At 40.5% G+C, this 21,993-nt stretch overlaps 1 protein-coding gene across 24 annotated transcripts in view; it reads left to right on the top strand.

Moving 5' to 3' along the window:
* DCUN1D4 (defective in cullin neddylation 1 domain containing 4) overlaps nucleotides 1-21,993 on the top strand; it is an 82,954-nt gene that overhangs the window by 31,870 nt on the left and 29,091 nt on the right. For 23 of the 24 annotated variants that reach the window (XR_007096386.1, XM_047449871.1, XM_047449872.1 and 20 more), the window contains 3 exons: nucleotides 8,518-8,632; nucleotides 12,010-12,101; nucleotides 20,815-20,885. Coding sequence is in view for 22 of the 24 variants with exons in the window: in XM_047449872.1 (XP_047305828.1) it covers nucleotides 8,518-8,632; nucleotides 12,010-12,101; nucleotides 20,815-20,885 (278 nt within the window). In the remaining 2 variants the exon portion in view is untranslated. Of the gene's footprint in view, nucleotides 1-8,517; nucleotides 8,633-12,009; nucleotides 12,102-20,814; nucleotides 20,886-21,480; nucleotides 21,492-21,993 lie in introns of those variants that run through there. The other variant, XM_017007913.3, reaches the window with a different exon arrangement.

Genomic DNA, 21,993 nt, shown 5'->3' on the forward strand with positions numbered 1-21,993 from the left:
ATCAATTGAAAATTAGGTGTAAGATGGAGACTGAAGTAACAGTGTTTTTGGAAAACACAACTTAGATGTGCAGCAAGAATGCACAGGACTTTCAGCATTTCACCTGAATCACTGTCACAACTAGATAAGCACAAGCCAGCATACCTGCTGACCCTTTACACCCTGCACTATGACAGTGGAAGTGTTCATACTCTTTCAGCTTGCTCCACTGCAGGCAGATCTGAAAGGGAGTTCAGAGGGGTTGGGCTTTCTGCTCATTTCAGGCTCTCTGCTCAGTTCAGTCTCTCAGCACTTAGATCAGGCACTCCTTCTTCCAGGGAAAGGAGTGAGACAGAGAGGCAGAGAATGCGCTAGGAGTGTTCTAGGAGTTCAGGGGTACTAAGGGTCCCTTCACCTGATCATTCCATATCAGCAAATATAGATCAACTCAAGGACAGTCAAAAACAATTTATTTAATAATTTTAAAAGCAGTATATTCGCATAGTTTTGAAAGAAGTATTGAAAAAATATAAAACAAAAAGTGAAGATTTCTGTCCCAGTTTATCACCCCTAGGTTCCATCCCCCACTAGTAGTCCACGTTTGACTTTCCAGAGGTAACTCTTCTGTTTGTTAACCAAATTATGGTGATGATGATGATGATGATGATGATGATGATGTATTTTTTCCTTAAATACAAGTGTACATTTATATTTGCCACTTTTCCACTCAGTATATCCTTGAGATCTTTTCATATTAACACATTTATAAAGCATCTGCTTTCTTTTTTAATGACTGTAATTTTCTAATCCATGGGTATTTTATAATACGTTCCTTCAGCCTCCTGTTGATTTATGTACACTTATGCTTATATGTTTAACTTTTAGCCACCACTAATAATGCAGGAATATAACTTTTGGACCAGTTTTAGTAGTTCTGAACTTTTGAATTAGATAAGTATTGTTACTATAGTAATTTTGCATGTAAATATTTAACCCAAAGTGTGGCACTTGAAATTCAGTTAAACGAAAGTATACTTGGACTCATGCCTCCACTTTTGCCTTGGTTACAGTGGATACGTCCAATACTGGGAGTACTTTTCATGGGATTCTTGGGGTGTTGCTTTGCCAGCCGGAAACTTCTGTGGCTGGTGGCACCTTCTGCCTGAGTATTGCCTGTGTCTGCTGGGCTCCTTCCACCCACTTGGCCAGGCAGGCTGCACTCAGTTCTCACTACTGGCCTGGATCCCACACCTGCCAAGTGTGAGTTAGACATGGAGCAGCACACGGTGTGTGGGTGAGCAAGCACCCGCTCCAATCACTGCACACAGCCAGGCATGCTGGCTGCTGCAGTGGGGCAAGTAGCTCCAGGTGCCAGCACAGGCGCCAGTACAGGCACCAGCTCTGTGCGAGGCTGCAGCTGGACCAGATGTACTGCATGTGGCTTCCACTGTGGGCACCTGCACCTGGATGAGGGGAACAAGGTGGCGCCCGGAAGCTTGGAGACACCAGGAACCACAGAACCCCAAAGAGGGTGTCACAGCCCTGGCTCAAGGAGCCCATAGGTCTAGGCTCCTCAAAGGGCTGCAGCTCTTCTCTCTTCACCGCCCACAACGTGGCAAGTGGCAAGGGGTGCGTTTCAGCCCTGTTTGTGTTACAGCTCTTTTAGTCCTGCCATTTGGTGGATCCTGAGTTCTTGTCCCGCATCCAGGAAGAATGAGGTATGCAGACAACTGGAGGGTAAGCAAGGTGTAGAGGAGCTTCATTGAGTGGCAGAACAGCTTTCAGCAGACCCAAAGTGGGTAGCTCTTTTCTGCAGGCAGGTCCTCCCGACATCTGTGCAGCCCTCGGTGGAGAGGAGACCTGGAGTGAGTAGCTCCTATCTGCAGGCAGGTTGTCCTGTCCTCTGCCTGAGTCTGGCAGAGTCTGAGGTTTTTAATGGGTTTCAGAGGGGAGAAAGCACGTGCTGATTGGTCCATGGGCAGCCATGAGCTGGCCTGGAAAAAGCACCATAAGTTCTCACTCTAGTCCCTGGAACTGGCAGCCCAGCCTCCAGGCCTCAGGCCATTCCAGGCTTGAAGTTGGGGATTTACCGGGGACCCACCCCTTTCTGCGCAGAAGCCTGCTTCCTGATGCCATCAACTTGCCATCCATGGTGCCCACGGCGCTCAGGTTGTTCGTGCCAAGGGGCACCTGCAGGTCTGCGCCAAGCTGCTCTCAGCCCCCCTCGGCTTCCCCCTCGTGCTTGTTGGTGCCCAAAGTTTGAAGGGGGCTGAGGTGGCAGGGGGCTGGTGTGTCAGCATTGCCCCAAGCATGTGCACACCTGGTCAGGTCACGACAGTGCCTGGGCTCAGCCTCAACTTTACTCTGATAACGGACAAAGCACCAGGAGTAGGGAGATGCCAGGAAGTGGGAGCAGTCACTTTTGAGGCTGTGGGGGCAGGGGGCCTTCCCAGTCCTTGAGAGTGCAGGGATGCCTGGGTCCGCAGCCATGGCTGGGCGGCTGCAGCTGTTCCTGGAAGGGCGAGACTCCTGCCCCCACAGCTCAGAATGGGGTGGGGCTCCTGCCTGTTCCAAGCTCCGTGGAGTGTGCAGCCCCTGCTGCTCCTCCTCCACTGCAGCCCACCTCATGGCAGTGATTGCTCCAGACGGGCTGCTGCTGCCATCAGTATGACATGCTGGTTTATTGCCTGTTACCTTGTAAGTGCCCAGTCAATGTCAGTTAGTGTTAGTAATTTCTTGGAGTAGTCAACTTCATTAACATTTGCCATCTGGTTATAGCATCACTTGTGATTCCGGTACCCAACAGAGTATACTTTAAAAACTGAGCAACATAAAATCTATGATGTTTAGAAATCTGAAATAGTTGAGTCATTGTAGTACTTCTTTGAGTCTCTTGGCCTAACAGTAGTCTGGGCAATGCTACTGTGTGTGGAAGAGCCAAACCTAAGTCACAGAGATCGGGTATCTTCCTGCTCTGCCTCCTCTCAGGCCTTTCTTTTGTGTGTCACAATCTTCCTCCTACCAAAAGGAAAAAGAGAGAATGAATTAGTGGCTAATCTTGGAGAAATAGCACAAAATAGGAGTGAATTTTAAAGAGCCCAATCAGGCTGGGTGTGGTGGCTCACGCCTGTAATCCTAGGACTTTGGGAGGCTGAGACCAGTGGATCACGAGGTCAGGAGTTCAAGACCAGCCTGGGCAACATGGTGAAACCCCGTCTCTACTAAAAATACAAAAATTAGCTGGGCATGGTGGTGCATGCCTATAATCTCAGCTACTCGGGAGGCTGAGGCAGGAGAATTGCTTGAATCTGGACCCGGGGGGCCGAGGTTGCAGTGAGCTGAGCTCATGCCACTGCACTGTAGCCTAGGCTACAGAGGGAGACTCCATCTCAAAAAAAAAAAAAAAAAAAAAAGTCAATCAGAGAGGACCAAAAATAAAAAAAATAAAAAAAAATGAGTAGGGATGATGATGATAGATGTCAGAAGTATTTAGAGAGAGGAAAAAATTCTTTTGTCCTTAGCAGTTCAATGATCTGTTCAAGAAAATGAAATAAAAATATTAGCTACTGGTAAGATATCTTAAGCGGCAAGCTATTTATGAACTTAAGTTACTGTATCTTTGTGACAATGTTCAATGAAAAGTGAGGTGAAATAGCTATATAAAAAGTACTGAAGTGGCAGAATGAGCTCCGTAAAATGTTAGTAAGTGAAACAAGGCTGTGATACAATCAGCTCACTAAAATGAAACATGAGACAGTGAGATTTTTGTATTGGCACATCTATTTGTATTAAGTTTGGAGAAGTAAAATATATTCTCTAATTTTGTAAACCTCTTGTACTCTTTTTTACTTGAGGACCACAAAGCAGAAAGATTAAAAAAAAAGGAAGTGAAGCACATACTTAGGCACTATTTGTTAAGAATAATGTGCTACGTAATTAAATTATTATGAAAATAGCAAGCTGGATAGATGATAAAGGGCCTTTAGTCTGAACCAGGTGAACTCAAGTTGCCCTTTAAAATGGACTTTCTGTCATAAATATTAGGATAGACCTGTTGAAAAAATGTTGGCAGTATTTCTGATTAATGTGGGAAGAAAAGCTCTATTCATTGACTGATTTATTTGAAATCAGATGGGGTCAGTTAAAAAATATTTAATTTGTTCTCTTGAAACACTGAACCCAAAAGAAATGAATCTGAACTTAAATAATAATCTTTGGGCAAAAATTGCACACAATTTTGATTGCTTTCCTAAGTGTCATGTAAACACCAAAACATTAAGAAAGAGCTTCTAATGATAGGAGGATTGATTTCCGATTCACTAAAACGTCAGCCTTAATATCTTGCTTCTACCTCTGATGCCAGATGTTCGTACCTAATTAAGTACTTTAAAATGGTTAAAATAGCTCATTTTCTGAAGCAGATAAATATTCCGTAACATTCTTGTTTATATTATTTGTATTTTTTTTTGTAGTTTAAAGATAAACTTGTAAAGTCAAGTAATACAACTCATACAAGTTGTAAGTCGGTGAAGTCTAAATTTAATGATACAAATAAATACAAATTTGTAGAAATTATTTATATTTAAGTATTTTTATCATAAAAAAATCACAGTTATTTTAAGAAGCAAGCATTCCTTGAATATGTCTTCTAAAAAAATCCTATCTGCCAAGAAACTTAAAGTTAACTGTTTGTTTTAGTGACAAATGGGGAAAAAATCTGAAATGATGGTGTTTTATTTACTCATAGGTGTTTTAAGTCTCTGGAAATGTACTTTTTTTTTTTTTAGAAGAATCTGATTTATACATGTTTTAGGAGCATTTATTCAACAAATATTTACTGAGAGTCTACCGTATGACTCAGTAATGGATGTATCTTATTATTACTGTAATAAGATACTGTATTAGCTGCTGAGTATGCACAAGTGAACCAAACAGGACCCCGCAAAGCAGTATGTGCCTTTGCACGTGCACTTGAGAAATCCTAGTTGTTGCTCTTGCTTAGTTGGGATCCCTGCAACCATTGGGGGAGCAGGTTTGGGGTAAACAGACTTGAATTGGGTGTTCTCTGTGCATTTTGTTTATTTAGTTCATGTTGGCAAATTACTATTTTAAGTAAAGTTGTTTCCCTAAGCATTAAAAAGTTGTTTTTTTTTTGTAGCCTGAATGGGTTCCAGGGTGGCTCTGCCTTGACCAGCTGTGCTGTGTGGTCCTAAGTCAATTCCCTTCCCTTGCCTGGATCTGAGTTTGCCTCATCCTCCTTGTGAGCCAGCCATGTGAGAGTCAGTGAGTCAGTGCCTGAACTAGGATGGCTGTTGGGGCAGGTGGATAGACACAGTTTCTTTGTGAAAAATGACCCCTTAACTGTCACTTGCTTACACTGATGATTAGAGTGGAGAGATTAAAAAAAAAAAAAAAGTCATGCCTCTTAGTTAGGAGATAAACATTTTAATAAATGACAGAATCACTGGGATGATTTGGGTCTCAGAGATGAGTAACTTTTCCACAGACACAAGAAAAAAGTATTTGTGAAACTTTTAATAGAAAGCATTTATCAATAAGAAAGAAACATAAGAGAAAGCTGAAAATGTTAGTTAACTTATGATGTTTGTGTATTTGCCAAAAACATGCTAATCTTGACAAGTAGGATTCAGTGGAAACCAAACGTTGTACAGTGTGTGTCTAGGAAGAACCAGGTGGTAGAGGAGCTAATGAATGAACTTTTATTGGTGAATATATTGGTGTAGACGTTATTTTAAACAGTGTTCCTCTTCTTATGGATTGAGGCGATAAGTGCATTTTCTTCTGTGTTTTGCACATGTGGAAGGGGAGGGGTTACTGCTAGACTGGAAGCTAAGAACCAAACCGTGACTGCTATTGGAAGAAAATGTCTTTTCTTCCTGCATATACATCTAAGGAGGGAGAAGCCAGCCTTGAGGATCAGGACAGACTCTTCATTTCTGGGCAGTATAACAGGCTTTACAGCTGAGCAGGGCAAACTTTTTCCTTCTGCAAGCCCTGCCCTAGGGCATTAATAGATATGAATAAATCTTTGTTTTTGTATGTTGGCAGTCTGCAGAAGCTTGGGTCACTGCAATTCTTTGGACCTTTTAATATGCTTTAGTGGTGTTTGTGAACCAGGGCAGCATTTTACAGGGAAGATGAATGGGGTGTGTGGGGTGGTGGGCAGCACTCCCCTTGACTCTTTCTCTTCCACACCCTGCTGGTGTGGGAGGAGTGATATGGGGGTGCTTAGTGTCTCTGAAGAGCTCTCTACTCCAATCCTTGGAAGGAAAGAGCCTGGTTGGTTCCCCAGGAATGGTGGCTGAGGGTCATCTGTTTAGACCTGAACTGGTTTTGTGCCGAAGGAGCAGGCAGGATCCTTGAGCCTGGGCACTGTCCAAGACTGGGGTCTGGGAAGGACCCTCATCTGGGCCAGAGTCCCAATTTATAATGGAAAGGGTGCTTTGAACTGGTATGTTGCTGAAGCATGTCACCTTAGGAACTTAGCACAGTGATGGAAGCCCAGATATGAACTGGGATTTAGGTTTCAGCTCTGATCATTGCTCTTAGCAGGGTTGTGAATGTTGGCTATTGACAGCTCTCTCTGCCTTCAGAGCAGGTATCTGGAAAGAGCTGTTCACATTCACTGTGTCCACTTCCTCACCTCACATCTCTTGTCTCTCCACAGCCCGCTGCAATCTGGCCTGCACTCCCACCAATCCATGGACACTGTACTTGATTGCTAAATCTCATGTGTGCCTTCACTCCTTACCTGAGTTGACCTCCGTGCTGCAATTGAACACTCCCTTCTCAAAGCATGCTCTCCTCCTTTGGCTTCCAGGACATGACACTCTCCTGGATTTCCTTCCTGCCTGGGTTTTACCTTCTTTTCCCAGGGCTCTGTCCTTAGTCCTCTGTTTCTGTTTCTGCTTTTATGGCCTCATAGAAGTGGCAGCAAATGGTAGCTGAGAGCTTGGGCTTTGCCACTGGGCTGCTTGGGTTCATACTGACTTGGCTTTACGTGCTGCTTTCCAGCTGTCACTTAATCTCTCTGCTTTGGTTTCCCTGTTTGTTAAAATATGATACATGCTGGTGAATAGTGTCCTGAGAGTTCAGTGAATGCTGAAGGCCGCCATGAGCGCAGTGCGCATGCCTCCTTCCGTGATGCTGCTCGGAACCAATGTCTTTATTTCAGCAACACCCGAACACAACACTTGGCACCTAAGCACTTAGTGAATGGGTATTTTTTTCCTTCATAAAACTCCTGAGAGGTAGCTATATAACATTTCTCATTCTTCAAATGGCGAATGAGAGACCCTAAGTAGGTTAGTGACTGATAGAACCACATAGGTGAAGAACTGGAACTCACTCATTGACTGCAGATCATTCAGTCCCCAGCACCCTTCACGCTCTCCTGTCCTCATCACTCCCTGAGAGCCCTGGGCCTTCAACCAAGGGCTTGTGCAAGGAGGAAAGGCATGAGGTTCAGAATTCACCACTTCTCACTCCTGAGACCTCAGGAGGTCACTTAAATACCTAAGCCTTAGTTTTCCCTGTCTGTTAAGTAGAAATAATTATCTTTGCCCTGCCTGTCATTCATGATTATTGTAGGAACCAAATGACATAATATATTTGAGGGCACTTGTACCAAGGTGGGGTATTTTAATCATCTTATAGTTGTCTTGTAGTTTATAACTTAAGACGGCCTGAAGCAAGACTGCCCAGATTCGAATCCTGGCTTTGCCGTTTGCCTAACCTCCCTCCGCCTCCGTTTTCTTATCTGCATAAGGCAATAATAGTTCTTTCCTCATGGAAACTGAACCTAAATGAGTTAGTACATGCAAGTGTTAAGAACAGGGCCTGGTTCAAAGTAAGACCTCAGTAAGTGTTCAGTGGCTATTATTATCTGTTATTACATTTTGGTATCAGACAATTACCAAATGAAAGTTATGTTTCCTAACTGAAAACCCTGACTGAATGTGGCAAAATCTTCAAGTGGCAGAAACAAACAAAATTGTTGTGGACATTTTGCTCAAGGTCATGTCAGACTTCTGCTTAAAAAACCCCAAATCCTGTTTTTTTTAAATCAGATATCTCTTGAAGCTTAAGACTACTGGGACTGATGTGCCTACGTGTATTTTAGAGTCAGGGTTACTTGTTGAGCTAACCTTGTTTCATGAAGTGTGTACATGAGATAGCACTGCAGTGCATTTTGAGAGAACATTGACATATAAGAGAAACAGAAAGGTTAGATGACTTAGATTAGTATTTTTGGAGAGTAAATTGAAATTATAATAACTTCTATTTCTGGTGTGATTTGGGTTGGTGGAAGTATTAACTTATTTGTGTCGTCGCTAGGTTTATTTCTTGACCATAACATTTTTTCAAAAAGGAACTAAAAACCCATCTTTTCTTTAACATCTAAATTCCTTACAATACAAGCTGTGGAAGTGTTTAAATTAGCAGTACTGTTCTTTGGAAGTACAGAGTTAGGATGTAGCATACCTTAATTTTGTGCTCTTTGAATTTGTTTTGTAGGAAGTCTGCGGTCTTGCAGTTCTTCAGACTGCTTTAATAAAGTGATGCCACCAAGGAAAAAGAGAAGACCTGCCTCTGGAGATGATTTATCTGCCAAGAAAAGTAGACATGATAGGTATGATGTAGAGACAGTAGATCAGAATCAGTGATACATATGTCGAAGATGCACATTTCTACCTAATTCAGTGTGGGTCTTCTAAGTGTGCAAATGCCAAGTGGAATGGGCTTTGCCAGTCGATTTTTCAAAATGTAATTATTTAATCATGTTTATTTTGTGTTTTAGTTTAAAAACGTAAGAACAAATTAGGTAATTTGAATTCTTAGAAGTTAAAGTTTTATCTTAATCCATTGATCGCCCAAAACTGGTGCAGAGTTGATTTCTTTCCTTTCAAAGCCTTGCTGTCTGTGCCTGCTGAGGACCACAGAATTGGTGTCTTGTTCTTTAAGCAGGTCTCACTCATTCACTTCAACCACAGAGCTGGAGAGATCTTCCTGTACTTAATGGTCTGTGCCCGCCCAGAATATCAGCCAAGCTGAGGTTTATTCTCACATGGGTGAGAATTCGATAGAACTGTGAAAAACAAGGCTCTTTAAATCGCTTCTCTTTCAGATAAGTGAACTTGTTAATTTTGGTAACTCCAAGGGCCTGTTAGATTCGTTTATTTCAAACATCTTTATTGTTTCACCCTGAGTTTAGTAAGTAGTTTTTTCTTCCTTGTTTCAGAAACAACAAACGAACATCATTGTCTAGTCTTTTCTACCTTTCTCCATCTTTCCCCATTCTGGCTTTGTGGGTCATATCACTAATGGGCCAGAATTTCCACATGTATTAATCCAGGGAATTTAAGTGAGATTTTTCTGTTTCTTTCTTGCTGTGACTCAGAGGAATAAGAAAGACTCTGAAAATGTAAAAATAATGTCATTGTTTATATCTCAAATGAATAGAAAATATTATCTGAAAGAAGATAGTAGTGATTTAGAAAATAATCACCAGCAATCTTTAGGCCAGTGATTTTTCAACTTTACAAAGGCAGGCTACTTTGATACTTTTTTGGTGGTGTGGACGTTATTATCAGAATTGTTAAATTCTAACAATCACATAACATTTTGTGACTTTGTAGCGCTTAGTATTTTCTCACCACAGTCTAATAAAATATAGTATGATAAAGCCAGATTTGAAACTGGCAGTGTAGTTGCAGTTTCTGAGTTTCATTCTTGGCCTTTCTTTTTTAAACAACTTTATTTACATACCATAAAGTTCATCCATTTTAAGTGTACAGTTTAGTGATTTTTATTAAGTTAACTGAGTTGTACACACCATCACTACAAACCAGTTATAGAACATTTCTATTATCCCAATAAGATCCCTAATGCCCATTCAGCCACTCCCAGCCCCAGACAACCACTAATCTACTTTGTCTCGACAGATTTCCCTTTTATGGATATGGTCTTTGTGTCTCGCTTCTTTCACTAAGCATGATGTTTTTGAGATTCTTGCATGAAATAGCATATATCAGCATATCATTCTTTTTATTTGCTGAATGGTATTCCGTTGTATGCTCTTGGTTCTTTTTTATGTATTTTTGAATAATTTATATAGTGTCTCCAAGTTATTGACCATTTACAGGCTTTGAGCTGAGATAGGAATGCCTGGGCCCAGAATTAGATCATATCTATTTGAACACTTGGCCGGTATCCACTTTTGTTTCTAGGTGGTATGGCTACCTTTTATAGAAGAAATACAAAACTGCTGGTTTGCAGTTTCAGTAACCTAACACCTTATTATAACCATGTACTTTTTTTGGTGTTAAAACCCAGAAACTAATCAGAGGCATATACTGATAATCGGGTGAGTGTCTAGGTCATGAATCAATGTTCAATAAAAAAGAATTATACCAAATGTCCAACAATGATAGACTGGATCAAGAAAATGTGGCACATATACACCATGGAATACTACGCAGCCATAAAAAATGATGAGTTCATGTCCTTTGTAGGGACATGGATGAAGCTGGAAACCATCATTCTCAGCAAACTATCGCAAGGACAAAAAACCAAACACCGCATGTTCTCACTCATAGGTGGGAATTGAACAATGAGAACACATGGACACAGGAAGGGGAACATCACACACCGGGGGGCCTGTTGTGGGGTGGGGGTAGGAGGGAGGGATAGGATTAGGAGATATACCTAATGTTAAATGACGAGTTAATGAGTGCAGCACACCAACATGGCACACGTATACATATGTAACAAACCTGCACGTTGTGCACATGTACCCTAAAACTTAAGTATAATACAAAAAAAAAAGGATTATACAGTTGACTGTTGAACAATACAAGTTTAAACTGCACAAGTCTACTTCTGTGGATTTTTTTCAGCCGAACAGAGATGGAAAATATACTATTGAGGGATGTGAAACCCCACCTGTATGGAGCACTGACTTTTGGTATACATGGGTCTTCCAGGGCTGACTGGGGGACTTGAGTATGTGTAGATTTGGGTATAGGTGGGGGTCCTGGAAACAGTCCCCTGCATATACTGGGGAATTACCGAATATTATTTTCATATTCTTACATACTATGAAAATAAAAACTGTATTTATAAATGCTTATATACACCACTAGGTAATTTATATATAAGTAAGGGATATAAAAATGTATATACTTATAATTTTTATATCCATATCATCATTTTAAAGCTATTGCCTCCTCTTCCCTCTCCATGTGAGGAGTATCACCTTCCTCAGCCCCTGGTTATTATGAAGTATGTCATTTTTGTGGAAGGTCACAGTTGCAACAGGAGGCTGCTGTGCTTCCTGATTCAGTTCTCTAGTTTATGCTGGGCTGTCCACAAGGCTAGAATTAGAAGAAAAAGGCAGAAGCTAGTTTCTCTATACTTCTGTCTCCTGAGGTTTCTAAGGTTATACTAATCAAGAAACCACCCAAGCGACATTGTCTTTGTCAGCCTTACATCAAAGTTTATTTTTTTCCCGGAAGCTTGGACATGATTTGATGTTTCTTTTTATTTGCTTAGTGTTCTCTTGAGTTGTCTAATATTGAGAGATTCTTCCTTAGACTGTGTTCCGTGCCCAGTCTAACTTGTAAGACACAGAAGACAGACATGAGTTGTAGGCTACATTAATAAATGTAGGCAAGACATTTCTTGCCATATCTCACCATTATTTTGTAGTTCTGGCTGGTGAGGTAGAAGGGAGTATATCAAATACCTGTTCTGTTCAGTTCTTACTGATTATTTGTTAATCAGAGAAAAACTTGTATTAAGTGCTTACCAGTTCTATATTAGGAGTGACTGTGTTTAAACACTGTAGTTAAAAGCTGAAGCCTGCAAATGCAGGAAATAAAACGTTTAAAATATACTTAAAATACTGATTGAATAGATGTCTGGTTTGGGTAAAAGAATATAAATTATCTGCTACTTTAAAGAACTCAGTATCTTTAAATAACTTAAAACTGCCTTTTCAATTTCCAGCATGTATAGAAAATATGATTCGACTAGAATAAAGACTGAAGAAGAAGCCTTTTCAAGTAAAAGGTGCTTGGAATGGTTCTATGAATATGCAGGTAGGTATTCATTTGTATCATCTAAGACTGATCCTTATGACAATAAGGAGTACCTTAGAGATGATTAAAGAATTTAAAAATGTGTACATTTCAAATTTGGGTGTGTGTGTGTGTGTGTCCCTGTTAGAGGGAGAGAGGGACATAGCTGTAACAAATCACCAGATAGCCTATTTTATAGCCAGCAGCTAAGCCAAATAATTCAGAACACTAGAAGGGAACTGAAAAGATGAAATGACTTGGGAGAAATACTTTGGATTGCTGGGAAACCTATTTGGAATGCTGATAATGGGTGATTATTTGGTCAAAGCACCTGTGTTAAAATAAGCTTTGCTGCTTTGAACCCTTACTTAGTGCAGTGAAATTTCTTTATATTAAGTGTTTCTATTTGGAAAGATCATTTGGCAGAAAATGTTTGTTTTGTCACTTAAAATGTTTTAAATTTAGTCTTTCTTTTTGCAATTTACTATAATTGGTTGGGTAATATAATGTTGCGACCTGGGGCTTATTTGTTATTGTGGCTTTGTATGGTGTAAAAAAGAAAAAGAAAAAATTTTCAAACAAGCTCAAGCTGAAGGCTCTTTTATCTTTCTTCTTTCTCACCTTATTTCAGGCTCTTTTATAACTTACCAACTGGCTATTCTAGCAACCTTTAAACCAATTTTCCTGTCATCTCCTCTCCAGACAACCTGCCATGTGCCACTGTTGTCTAATTTTTTTAAAACTAAGCTGAGCAGATCATACATACATTCCTGAACAACCTCAACCACTCCCCTCTAATCCCAACCCTATCTCCTGGCCAAAAGAATCCCTGCTATCTGCAGGATAAAAGAGAGTGAACTCCCCGTGCCTTTGCCTGAAATGATTTTCTCCGTTTTTCCATCTGACATGCTCTTACATCTTTTAAACCCTTAATTACCTTAGTAGCCTTTTCTGTACTTCCACAGGATAGTGTTTATAACTTGTTGTAACTTGTTTTGGTTCCCTTTTATTGGTATCAAAATGAGGAATTCCCCCTGTAGCCTGATCTGGCTATTTTTCTCCTATTCCCATGCAACCCTTTTTGTGATAAGAGCCTTGCCCCTGTTGGCCACAGAGATTGGTCTAGGTGGCTGGCACATAACCCAGGCCAGGCCAGTCAGACAAATCTTCACAGGGGTTTTCAGATTGAAGCTGGGAGGATCATGTCTTTCTCTTCTGGTGGAGGACTCGAGAGGTTATAGTTCTGATTCCTGTAGTTCTTCTTTGGACTTTTATGAGCTACCCCAACATCTTTCTAATGGATTCTCTGTCATTTCTTTAATGAGTTTGATCTGGATTTTGTTTGCGGGGCATGGACACTAGTGCAAACACATGGATGCTGTTAGCATTTGTCTGTTTTCATGTTTACAGACAAATTAAACATGAGTTCGTTTGATTCATTGAACCTGAATCTCTTGGAAACCTTTAGAATTTCTAGTAAAAGTGATTGACGGCTGGGCGCGGTGGCTCACGTCTGAAATCCCAGCACTTTGGGAGGCCAGGGCAGGAGGATTGCCTGAGTTCAGGAGTTCCAGACCAGCCTGGGCAACACGGTGAAACCCCGTCTCTACTAGAATACAAAAAACTAGCCAGTTGTGGTGACATGCACCTGTAATCCCTGCTACTCAGGAGGCTGAGGCAGGAGAATCACTCGAACCTGGGAGGCGGAGGTTGCAGTGAGCCGAGATTGTGCCACTGCACTCCAGCCTGGGCGACAGAGCAAGACTCCGTCTCCAGAAAACAAAAATAATTGACACTGTACCAGATATTCTGTAAATAGGTTCTGAATGAATGAAGAGCGTTCTCATATTCTTATCACATTGATTATGAAGATCTCTTGCTTTCCTATATTGATTCACATTTATTGTTATGAAAATGTTTTATAAGAAGGAAATTTTAAAGAAAAAGTACACTTAATCCCATCACCATAGCATAGCTATTCTGATTTTTTGGTACCTTCCTTTATAAGCAAATACAGATTTTTTCATAATATAAGCCAAGAAAATAGCAAGGTGTGACTTTTCTTCTTGTTTGCCTTTCTCTGACTTTAGAAGGGTGACATTTTGGACATAAAGATTAAGCTACATTATTTAGGTTCCTTGAAATCCCTGCTAAGTCCTTCGTTTTAACTGAACCCTTCAAGAAATTTGTGTGGAGGTGACTATTCCTATTTTTAGCCACCCCCTTCTTTTTCCCCCTTTTGCTATAGCTTGTCCATAGGGAAAATAACTGGCATTGGGAATAACTGAAAGCCCCATTGGCATGTGTTTTCATTTTGTGTATCTCAACCACATAAACTGAAACTGTAGGTCAGTATTAGTCAAGAAAAATGAATCGTGAGAAGAACCAGTGTGACTAACAGGTTGTGCTGTAGGATGAGTCTGTGGGAACAGGCTGTGATGCCACAGACCCCCTAGATACCAGCACGAAGAGGGCTTGTAAATGAAATTGAGCCATGTTCATTTTCCGTAGAAGAGAGCAGGCTGGTTTGGGCTGAGGATAAATGCTGACTCCCTGCCTTTTAATCTGGAGTAGAGTGGAGTGGAGGGGCAGCGGGGGCCTGGTGTGTGATTATTTCACATGGATGGACCTTCAGCTCTTCCCAGAATTCTCAGTTCCACTTTGTACCTTGCCCTCTGCTTTCCGTGGCTCCTGAGGCCTGAGCCCAGCTCTTCCAAGTTTCTGTCTGGCCAGTTAACCCCAGTCATCCTCTGCACATTCTAGGATGCAGCTTCTCACTTTCTAAAATCTCCACCAGCTCAATTTCTGATCTCCAGAAATATAATGAATAAACCCTTCTTCGCTGGGGGCTTTTCCTCCTGTTCTCTGGTTGTAGGTGTACTCCCTTTCACACTTTGGTACTTTAGCTCTCTGTGACTTTAGAAAGGATCGGCTGGGAGGTTCAGGGGAAGTGTTTATTTAGACCTTGATCTGAACCTGGAATCCCATTTTGTTTCATTAGAATGAAGACAACCAGGCTGGGCATGGTGACTCACGCCTGTAATCCTAACACTGGGAGGTCAAGGCGGGTGGATCATGAGATCAGGAGATCGAGACTATCCTGGCTAACACGGTGAAATCCCATCTCTAATAAAAATACAAAAAATTAGCCAGGCGTGGTGGCATGCGCCTGAGGTGCCAGCTACTCGGGAAGCTGAGGCAGGAAAATCACTTGAACCCGGGAGGCAGAGGTTGCAGTGAGCCAAGATTGCGCCACTGCACTCCAGCCTGGGCAACAGAGTGAGACTCCGTCTCAAAAAAAAAAGAATGAAGATGACCAGTTTACATAATTTATCTAATAACTTCCACTTTTTGAAATATATCTAAGAATAAGGAATTAAACCAAATACACAGGTGCCAACATTGGTTTTACAGTTATACTAAAGCTCACATACATAGGTCATAATAGTTCTACAAGTCCTGACTGTAGGCCCTTAGTCTATTTTGGATTAAGTTCTATAGCAGAATTGTTTGGTTTACCAAAAATAAAGTCAGTCATGGACAGTTGCAACAAATAATAAACTGGTCTGATAGCGAAGGAAGAGATGTTAAAAACTACCTAAGAGACCATGTGGGCCCCATTTGCCTCTGTGATGTGGTATGCTATAATTATGGGGCCATTATGAAAAGGTCAAATATCTTTAGTTAGGGGCCCCTGCTTAAGATGGCAGGGAAAGTGGAAGGACCACTTCTTTCTGGATTATTGTCAGTATATCAGCCTTACCAGATGTACCTCCAGTATCTTGTCACCTAGGGCATTTTATAGCTTATTATTTTAGATACAAGTTAAAAAAAAAAAAAAAAACAAGAAAAAAAAAACCTCTCTGTCTCAAACTTCACTTCTAACCCACTTTGTGTTAGCCAGTGGTGTATTTGTTAGCTTGCTTGACAGAGGTAATTACCTTAATTCTACAGGTAAATTTAGTGTAAAATACAACTAGAATCCCAACAAATCATGCAATTACAACTAGATTTAAATGTGTGCATGGGAAAGATGAGAAGAAAAGTGTTAGGGCTGGGTGCAGTTGGTCACGCCTGTAATTCCAACAATTTGGGAGGCTGAGGTAGGAGGATCGTTTGAGCTAAGGAGTTTGTGACCAGCCTGGGCAATATAGTGAGACCCCATCTCTTAAGAAAAGTGTTAGATGGCAGGGTTATTGGTAGCATTTCAATAATGTTGATTGGCAAACTATATTTTAACCTATTTTGGATAAGATATTACTTTGACAGTCATGCCATTGCAAATTAAAATCTTGCTCTTCTAAAACACACAGACACATGTATTTATAAGTAGTACAGCAACACTATAAAATTGGGAAAAAAGAAAAAGCATTAATAACTTACATAACCACTGCAAAGGATACCTCAGTAGACCTTCGTTGAGGTCTGGGGTGCAGTCAGCAGAAGCACCGTGCTCAGAGTTCATTTTCCCATGTGGCAAACAGGCAAATAAGTAGAGAAACATTACCTTTATGGTGAACATTGACAGAAAGAGAAGGCAGTAGCCAGGTTGGAGGATGCACGACGGGGAGAGGAAGCCGGGGAACACCCAAGCCATGTGCAGAGGCATGGCAAATGCAGGCGGCTTGCTAGGCTCAAGAATAAGTTGCACAGGCCGGGCACAGTGGCTCATGCCTATAATCTCAGCACTTGGGGAGGCCGAGGCGGGCGGATCACGAGGTCAGGAGATCGAGACCATCCTGGCTAACAGGTGAAACCCCATCTGTACTAAAAAATACAAAAAATTAGTCGGGCGTGGTGGCGGGCACCTGTAGTCCCAGCTACTCTGGAAGCTGAGGCAGGAGGATGTCATGAACCCGGCAGGCAGAGCTTGCAGTGAGCCGAGATTGCACCACTGCACTCCAGCCTGGGCGACAGTGCCAGACTCCATTTCAAAAAATAAATAAATAAATAAAAGAATAAGTTGCACAGAAAGAGCTTTTTTAAATTAGGAAGAATAGAAACCAAAGAGAGAGGAATTTTAAAAGAATTACAAAGTAACTTTCCCCCCCGGCTCTATGCAGCTGCTTCTCAATAAGCCATATCAGTAGATACCAAAAAGTATCTGTTGCTTAAAAAAAACACCCTTAACAAAATAGGAATAGATGAATATTTCCTTATCAGAATATTCTTCAGTCTCACAGCCTAAATACTTTAGTAGAATGATGAAAAGAACTTTGATTCATATCAACACACATATGTACACTTACAATGGGATAACATAAAATGTATTAATATTAGCTAAGAAGAATGAAGTAGATGTATGGGTACTGTCACAGGAAGATTACCAGACACAGTCAGTGAAAAAGGCAAGGTGTAGAATTACAAGTACCTCACAAACCCATGTGCGTAGGTGAACAAATTTGAAAACTGCATTTTAGTATATATTTGCCCATATGCAGCAAAAAGGTCCAGGAGGATACTATCATGTCTTATCTGGTAAAGAAAGGGAGAAGGCAAGTTTCTTTTTTTTTACTGTTTATTTTATTCTGTATGTTCTCTATTTAAATATTTTGTCATGTGAATGAATTGATGTGTAGTGTGTCTAATACATACATGAATGTGCACATGTGGATATATGCACTCTCAAACCAAAGAAAGCAGGCAATATATTGTGTGATAAAATGCTAAATGTCGTATTTGAGTCAAGAATGAGATAAGAATGTCCACTCTCACTACTCTTACTTGCCATTGTTTTGGAAGCTACTAGGCACTGCTGTTAGACAAGAGAAAGAAACGAGGAGTGTAAATATTGGAAAGGAGGAGACAGAAATGATCATTGCAGATGAAATGATTAAATTATTTTACACTTGGAAGGCCAAAGAGAATTGCCTGGGCAAACTTAGAAACACTAAATAAATATGTATATATTCCATGCATATACAATTCTATAGATGGCTTATTTTGAGAAGTGTTGTTAAAGAAGCTCTTTAATAAATAGTTGTCTCTGCAGAGTAGGGAGGAGTTAGAGGGGACAACTTCACTTTTGGAACATTTTATTTTTTATTTTCAAATGAAACTTTGTATCATGTTTATGTATTAATGTACAAAACTAAAATAGTATTTGGTTTTCTTCTGATAATCAAGATAAGAAAACTAGGAATATATAAATATATATATTTATATATAAATTTATATTTTTAAATTTATGTTTATACATTTATATAAAAAGGGGATAGAAGGGGACAAAACCCCAGAAAAAAGTAACAGATTTGAATATATGAAGTAAAATATTGTGTAATGAAGTAGAACATTTGTGATTAAAAGGAAAATAATGGCAACAAGAAAAAAGTATTTGCTTTGGCCAGATTATGAGGAAGGGCCTGAGTTTGAACTTTAGGGGGAGCCAAGGATTTGAAGCAGAAAAATGACGTAAGACTTCCCAGCAGGAGCTCCGGGTGACTTTAGTGTTCCTCCTTTGTTAAGAACAGCCACCTTATACTTTGTGTTAGTGAAAGTCTTGTTGTTACTTTGTATTGAGGTTACTCCTGTACTTTGTCTCCCTTCATGGAGGGCAGGGACTGTTTGCACCCTAGGCAACTACTGCAGTGCATAGCTCCAGGATGTGTCTAACAAATGTTATGGGAATGAAATGGATACATACTAAGAAGGTGAATTCTGCTGGACTTGGTGACTTGCTAAATCTAGAGGGTATAGGAGGATTGTAGAGCGTTTCCTATATTCTGGTATTCAGCCATTCATTTAGTCCTTCATTCAGTTTTTATTGGACCAGCTATTCTATGCCAGATAGTATGCTGAGCTTGTAAGAAGAATAAAGGAACTCTTGCTCTTGAGTTTAGAGGGAAAGACAGATGAGCTGGGACTTTGAATGCAGTGTGCTAAATGTGTGAGAACCATTCCTAGCATTGCGAGGGGTCACAGTACTGCCTGACCCAGCCTCTGCAGGTGGGGAGATTGTGAGGACTACTCCTTTGCTCTCAGTCTTAAAGGTTGAATAAGTTAGCCAGGGGAGTTGGGGGAAGGGAGAGGAGGGGACAGGAAGGGGACTAGAGGAAGACAGGCAGAGACACAAAGAGTAATACTGTGCTGGGTGTGTGTTCGGTGGTGGTGCAGAGTGAAGCCACAGGTAAGTAGGTGTTTCTGGACCTTAATTTTTTTTCATCCAGCAATATTTATTGATTCATTTACTTCTGAGAAACTTGTTTTGCAGTTGGAAAGATGTAAGACTGAAGAGGGAAGAAAGGCACTAGATCATAGAGAACCTTATGTGATAAGCCAAACACTTTGGATTTTATATTTAGGCTCTAGGGAGCCATTGAAGGATTTTAAGCCAGCATGGGATTGCGTTTGAAGTGGATCCCTTCAGTGGCTGTTTGCAGGATGGGTCGGGGGGAAAAGACTCTGGAATTAGGAGATCATGAGGAGACTGCTGTAGTTGTCAAGAATAAAGCCTTGAAAGAGCATGGTGCAGGAGAGGCACAATTAAGAAATAATTAGAAGGTAAAATTGGTAGTACACTTGATAATTGATTGGGTGTGAGAGAAAGGAGGAATACAGGAAGACTCCCAGGTTTCTATTTCTGGGTGTGCCACCAGCTGGGACAGCATACAGGAGGATAAGCAGGCCTGATATCGAGAGACATTGGGCTCCGTTTTAGTGAGGCAGTGTTTGAAAATGTGAAATGCGGGAGGAGTAGGTTTGAAGCAGAAGATGAGTGTAGTTACGGCAGTTAAACAGGAGGTGGAGCAGCTAGTGATAAAGAGGCAAGTAGTTCAAAAGTAAGGGGAAAGTGTGGTCTAGAAAGACATTTGGGTAGGACCCGAGACCTTGAGTATGGTTAAAATTTCCTAGGAATAATGTATATAGCAGGCACTAGAAGAGGTTTAAGGATGAATCTTTGCACATCAAATTTAACCATCTGGGAGAAGCAGAAGAACCCATAAAGAAGCCAGAAGGGGAGAGGAAGGAGGAAAGCCAGATGAGAGAGGGTGCTTCAAGAAGCCATGGGAAGAGACAGTTTTGTGAAAAAAGAACTGCTTCAGATTTTCAGATATCACACAATGGTCAGATAAAACAAAGACTGAATTTGTCTGTTAGATTTGACATTTAGGGGCTTATTGGAGACCTTGGCAAAAAGAATTTCAGTGGAGAGCTAGGAGAAGAAGAAACCAAATTCCAATGGTTACAAAGTGAAGGGGAGATAAATTAGAGATGGAATGTGTGGACGCTTCCTTCAGGAAGAATCAGAGCTAATGCTAGAACGGAAAAGGGGGCCTTACTGTCTTTATCAAGAACAGAGTGATAACTTGATTTTTTTCTATGTAAAAGAAACATTTATGTTTTTTCTTATTTAATTTTATAGAGACTATTATGTGGTTCTTTGCTATGTTTCCAAAAATTATTTTATGTATTGAAATTATTACCCAAGTAAGAGTAGAACATTAAGCTGTTTTAAAGAGCAGGAATTGAATTCAGCCTTAACTTTAGACAAATGGTATATACCATATTCCAACGATTGAAGGACATGGTGATAAGTTGATTTAAATGATTGTACAAAGTAGAGTCCTTTAAAGATACTGAAATTCGAGAATACTTTTCAACTTAGACTTGATTTTTTTTTCCAAAAGGAGTTAATGGCCTTTAAGTCTTACTTGTTGACAGTATAATACTACTACAGTGGTAATAGTATGGTGTGCATGGTCAGATTTAATTTACATAAGACTGTATTTCACAGGAACTGATGATGTTGTAGGCCCTGAAGGCATGGAGAAATTTTGTGAAGACATTGGTGTTGAACCAGAAAACGTGAGTCAAACTTACTGAGTTGGGTGAATCAGTTGGTTGTTTTTCATACTTAAATCTTTGTTCTTTAGCAAATAAATAAATAATTAAAAAGTAGTGGTATGTTAGTTTTTATGAAGCAGTCTAAGAAATAAGTTCTAATTCTAGTTTGACTTATAAGCAGATTCTCCATTCTTGTAAGTGATATGGTGTAACTACAGTTATTTTTTCTCTCATTTAATTTCTTGTATGTAAAAGGTACAGTAAGCCAGATGCTTACAAAATGGTGTGGCCACATGTGCCTACAATGACGGATCAACTGGAGGCCACATTGTACGCTGTGTACCTTCGTGCCCCTCAGTAGTTGTTTTAGCCTAATGTAGAGTCAATCTAGGACTTATAATTATTCATCATGATTTTGAGTAGATTGTAATCATCAAGAATTTTTCATAGATCGTTTACTTCCAATTGAATTTAGCTCAGAAGTGATTGCTTTTTTTTTTTTGAGATGGAGTCTCGCACTGTCGCCAGGCTGGAGTGCAATGGTATGATGTCGGCTCACTGCAACCTCTGCCTCCCGGGTTGAAGCGATTTCCCCTGCCTCAGCCTCCTGAGTAGCTGGGACTACAGGTGTGCGCCACCATGCTTGGCTAATGTTTTTTGTATTTTAGTAGAGATGGGATTTCACCATGTTGGCCAGATGTCTCTATCTCCTGACCTTGTGATCTGCCCGGCTCAGCCTCCCAAAGTGCTGGGATTATAGGCGTGAGCCACAGCACCCGGCCATGATTGCTTTTTATAATGTAAAAGCCCTAGGTATTTATTTTTAATTAGAGTGATTTTTATAAGCTTAATTATTTTTGCCTAATTCTTAGCATGTTATTGTTGAATATTTTTTCTGTTCCTACATCACCTCTCTTACACTAAAATGAAAAACTATGCTTATACACATGCCCTGCCTCATTAACTATGCAGTTTGATATTACATTAGCTCCAGTTTAATAAATATGTCCAAGATCCTCAATGAATTTGTGATCTGGGAAGAGATCTCAAGAGATCATTCTCTTCATTCAGGCTGTTTCCAAGACATCTGGTGCCCAGGCATGTATGTCATGCTTTTAAAGAAACTAGC

The sequence above is a fragment of the Homo sapiens genome, chromosome 4 (genome assembly GCF_000001405.40).
Source record: "Homo sapiens chromosome 4, GRCh38.p14 Primary Assembly".
Lineage (NCBI taxonomy): Eukaryota > Metazoa > Chordata > Mammalia > Primates > Hominidae > Homo > Homo sapiens.